The sequence below is a fragment of the Homo sapiens genome, chromosome 2 (genome assembly GCF_000001405.40).
Source record: "Homo sapiens chromosome 2, GRCh38.p14 Primary Assembly".
Lineage (NCBI taxonomy): Eukaryota > Metazoa > Chordata > Mammalia > Primates > Hominidae > Homo > Homo sapiens.
The window spans coordinates 173745453-173750219 of NC_000002.12; the positions used below are offsets into that span (position 1 = coordinate 173745453).

At 41.7% G+C, this 4767-nt stretch overlaps 2 annotated features.

Annotated features, from left to right (window-relative positions):
• Positions 1269 to 1770: an enhancer, noted in NCBI's record as "H3K4me1 hESC enhancer chr2:174611449-174611950 (GRCh37/hg19 assembly coordinates)". NCBI's record gives its function as "activates a minimal SCP1, AML or CMV promoter by ChIP-STARR-seq in primed H9 embryonic stem cells {active_cell/tissue: H9 hESC(primed)}" and the evidence as "EXISTENCE:reporter gene assay evidence [ECO:0000049][PMID:30033119]".
• Positions 1771 to 2270: an enhancer, noted in NCBI's record as "H3K4me1 hESC enhancer chr2:174611951-174612450 (GRCh37/hg19 assembly coordinates)". NCBI's record gives its function as "activates a minimal SCP1, AML or CMV promoter by ChIP-STARR-seq in primed H9 embryonic stem cells {active_cell/tissue: H9 hESC(primed)}" and the evidence as "EXISTENCE:reporter gene assay evidence [ECO:0000049][PMID:30033119]".

Consider the following 4767-nt stretch of genomic DNA (forward strand, 5'->3'; position numbering starts at 1 on the left):
ATCAAAACTCTCAAAGGTGGCAAAGCCCTGTTCTGAGACTTATCAGATGCAACTTCTACCTTAACTCCTTCAAATATGAGTTCTCACTATTAGAATCTTCTGATTGGCCAAACTTTCGATGCTTTGGTGGCCCCTTACCTAAATGCACACTACTGATAAACCAAACAAACAAACAAAAATACTGCTTCTTGGTAAGGTATAAAATATAAACATAACTTTTCTCAAATCTGTGTAAGTTACAGTTTCAATTAGGTAAGCTATCAAGATTGTCAAGGTTAGTGATGGGCCACTAGAGTCCTGTGTTAGCTTGGATGATAAAACTAGAGTGGGCCAGGCCCGGTGGCTCACACCTGTAATCCCAACATTTTGGAAAGCCAAGGTGGACAGATCACTTGAGGCCAGGAGTTTGAGACCAACCTGGCCAACATGGTGAAACCCCGTCTCTACAAAAAATGCAACAATTAGCCAGGCGTGGTGACACATGACTGCAATCCCAGCTACTTGGGAGGCTGAGGAAGGAGAATAGCTTGAACCTGGGAGGTGGAGGCTGCAGTAAGCCCAGATGGCGCCACTGCTCTTCAGCCTGGGCAACAGAGAGAGTGACTCTGTTTCAGGAAAAAAAAAAAAAAAAAAAAAAAAAAAAAATCTTAAAAAAGACACCTAGAAGTGGATCACTTTGACTTCAAGAGATGGTGACTGATCTCGATGCGTTTCCATGCTAGGGCTGCTTTCTCATCTGTTCTGGAAGTTTTCCCTGTCCTCTCCCCTTCACCCCACACTATCTGCAGACCAACACGCATGCACCCTCCAGCACACCCTCAAACTACTCACACACTAAAGTGTCTGCAATCTATAGAGACAAAAAGCAGATTGTGATTACTTAGGGCTGAGGGAAGGGGGCAGGGAATTTGGAATGATAGCTTAAGGGTAAAGAATTAGCTGACAAAACCATAGGGTGTCTTTTTGACGGGCGTGATAAAAATGTTCTAAAATTGACTATGGTGATAATTGCACCTATCTGTGAAATCTGTGAATATACTAAAAACCATTGAATTGTAGGCTTTAAATGAGTGAATTGTGTAATATGTGAATTGTATCTTAATAAAACTAAGTGAAGCCTGAACGCCCACTTTTGAGGACAGCGGACGAAACACAGGGTATGACAGGAGTAACAGAGCTAAAGCCCTGCCTCGTGGGCTGCACTTGACAGTAAGGAAATGAAGCGCCATAGCCGGAGATCCTATGTTAGTTTCCCATAAGCCACCCTCTTTGGAGGGTCAAGTCACAGCATATAGGATCAGGAAAGGGTCTTTTACCTTACGCACAGTCAAACCCTCCCCCAGACAACGGAGTGCTGTGTCAAAGCCTCGCTCAGAATGGATTTGAGTAGCATAAAGGATCCATATAGGTGAAGGTGGAAGAGTGAATCAAGTCTTAGAATCCCGGTGGTGTGAAGCAGGCTCCAGGGCCCTGGGCTCGCCTCTCCCATCAGGAATACATTAGCATGCAGATCTGGCAGAACGGTTTCCCCTAGTCCTTGCAACACACCTCCTGCCTGATTCCTATCCAAAATTCTAATTAATAGGAATCCATATTTTCACACAGCTCTGGCAGTTTAAATATGCAAGTGCCTATTCAATGCTCCGAAGACCCCAAGCACCCTTTCAGAGCACATGGCTCTATACAAGGGCTCCCGTGTCTGAAATGCAGACGGCGCCTCGCTGTCACCATCCTAACAGTGTGGCAGCTGCGCTTCCCAAAGCCAGCAAAGTGGGTCCTGTGTGTGCATGGAAGACATGCCTCAGCCACCATCCACCATCTGCCTGGTTGGTGGGTGCACAGCCTCAGCATAGAGAGACAGCTGCCCCTGACAATGGGGAAAACAGCAGCACTTCCTCAGCTCCTTTAGCAACAAGAAAAAAAAAATGTCTGCAGGAAGAATATGTAAAATTACTGCAAATTTCAGATGCAACTGCTATTATGTCTCCTCACAGCTAAATGATCACACGCAGTAGGATGAGGTCTGTTTAGCAACTGTAACAATTAGGCACATTTATATAGAATAAGGCACTAACAAGGCTAAAAGACTATTGTCCTGGACAAAGGGTTCCTCTCATAGGCTCTGCCATCATAAATGATACCTTTAAAAAAGCCTCTTCCTAAAGACTTCTTTTAAGTAAAATGATGATCACTAATTACTTTGTTGTGAGCACAAATAAGAATTACTTTCTTCAAAAATTCTAACTAAATAAATTACTCCAGTCAAAAAGATGTACTCAATTAATTCTTTATTAAGGGCGTTGTAAAATCTAAGTGATTGTTCCAGAGAAGTTAGGCAGTGCCAGGAAAATATTTATCACTTAGCTTAGTAATTATTTACTTAGAAAAAGTTCAAAAAAGGCCGGGCGCAGTGGCTCACACCTGTAATCCCAGCACTTTGGGAGACCAAGGTGGGCGGATCACGAGGTCAGGAGTTCGAGACCAGCCAGGCCGACATGGTGAAACCCTGCGTCTACTAAAAATACAAAAATTTAGCAAAAATTTAGCTGGGCATGGTGGGTGCCTGTAATCCCGGCTACTCAAGAGGCTGAGGCAGGAGAATTGCTTGAACCCAGGAGGTGGAGGTTGCAGTGATCTTAGATCACGCCATTGCACTCCAGCCCAGGTGACAGTGGGAGACTCTGTCAAAAAAAAAAAAAAAAAAAAGAAAAGAAAAGAAAAGAAAAAATAAAAAGTTCTAAAAGTTAAAAAAAAAACTCCAGGCTGGAGCAAGCTGGCAGCCTCTGCCAAGGCAGGCATTCATCTTTTGCCCGTTGGGTTGGGGGCTACCTGGAGGGTCTCAGGGAGTGGCCTGAGGGGGCCACACGGGGGCCTTGGGGGAAGGACTTGCTTCTGACAGGTGAGCAAATATTTCAGTATTGTAACTAGCATAGCTATGCCAGTGTATATGCCAGATGAACGAGGGGCCTAAATAGATAGGTCACATTTGGCTGTTTCATTAAAGATCCCCCGATGTCCTCCACATTCTTATGCATGAGATCATGGGTTCCCCGGAACACAGACTACTGGGGGCTTTGCCCACTGGAGAGATTACTGAAGAAACTAAATGCACACATAAGCCACCTTCCTTAGATATGTTATCTGAGCAAACATAAAACAATCTTAAAAATCATAATATACTCTACAGATTCTTGACTCTCCAGCTAGCAGTGAATAAATGTTCATTTTTTCAGCCTAATTGTTTTCGGACCACTGACTAGAATTACAGCATGAAAAGGCCACTGTCATGTTCAGTATACATTTTTAATAGACATCTTTAAACATTTAGACAAAATATTATTTTTAAATGGCAATTCTTTAACTGGTAAATGTAATTATCTAACTTTATAAAGAAAAAAAAACCTGACAATCAAAATATTCTGTCACTGCTTTAACGAAACACCTAAAATATCTTTTCAGCAAATGAAATGATTCTTTATTTTACGCTTTTAAAAATGCATTAGAATAATTGCTCTGCAACAAATCACCCTCTCTGCTCCGAGCTTGGCTGCCACATTCCTCTCATGTCCATCAATTGTGCACATTGTCATGATACCCTGATGATCACCAGGGGTGAGTCCCCCTAACAGTATGTTTATAAGAGTATTCGGTTGAGCAATCTGCAAAATAATTGTATTTCAATGGAGATATTATACTGTGAAAAAAATCTATTACATGTCAAGTGCCAGATGAAGCAGTTATAGAACCAAGACACATTTATTGGTGCTTTTAATCAACGCAAATAACTTTGCAAGCTGATCATTCCATTGTTTTCTTGTGATTTTAATTTGCTTCTTTAATAACAGAAATATACTTTTCAACTAACAGTCATCACTTGACTTCTGAATGAACAAAACACTAGATTTTTTTTTAATATTCTGGGTCATATCTCTGTATGATTGGAATCTGTTTTCCCAAAGTCCTAGGGCAAAAAAAAAAGTACAGAAGGTAGTGTCCTTACAAAGGTTGTCCAGAAGTCCACATTTTCCTTAAGTCCAAAGAGAGACTAAGGGACCCTTAACCCCATCTGCTGGTGGCAGAAGAGTTGAGGAATTTTTGCTCCAGTGCATTTTATGTGTTCCTCTGTAAAGTTTAATGTTCAAGCAGGTTTTTTGCAGCCTTTGTATTAAATACAACGTGCTTTCTTTCAGCATGTGGGTCATCACCACCACAATGGAGGGTGCTGTAAACTACCTTTTGGGACTAAATTTCAAAACGTACATTTGTATTTCCAGAAAATGTTGAGTATATAAAGCAATCACTCTTTTAAACCTGAACACGTAATAGAAAGCCATAGACTTTCACCGTGACTTGCGATGACCTTGGCAAACCTGACTATGAGCTCTTTGACCTACAATATTGATGAATTCCTCAGGAGAACAAGAGCTCACATTTCCTGAAGGCTGAGTGTGTGCCGGCTTCTGCTTTAAGTGCTCTATAAGCATTCACTCCCATCATACAACAATCCTTTGAGATAAGTCCTATGGTTATCCCAATTTCCTGATGAGGAAACTAAGACGACAGAGATTACACAACTTGCCCAGTCACCCAAACAATTTCCTGAGGTGTCCCCGCTAGATGCTCAACAGTTGTTTGCTGACAGCAACAAACCTGCTTAAGAGAATCTTCTTGTACCAAAAAAAAAAAAAAAACATTTTAAGGTCTTGTCCATGTCTCCACTGCCCACCCAATCTGAATGATGGTTAAAGTCACTCGCTTGGGAAAGTC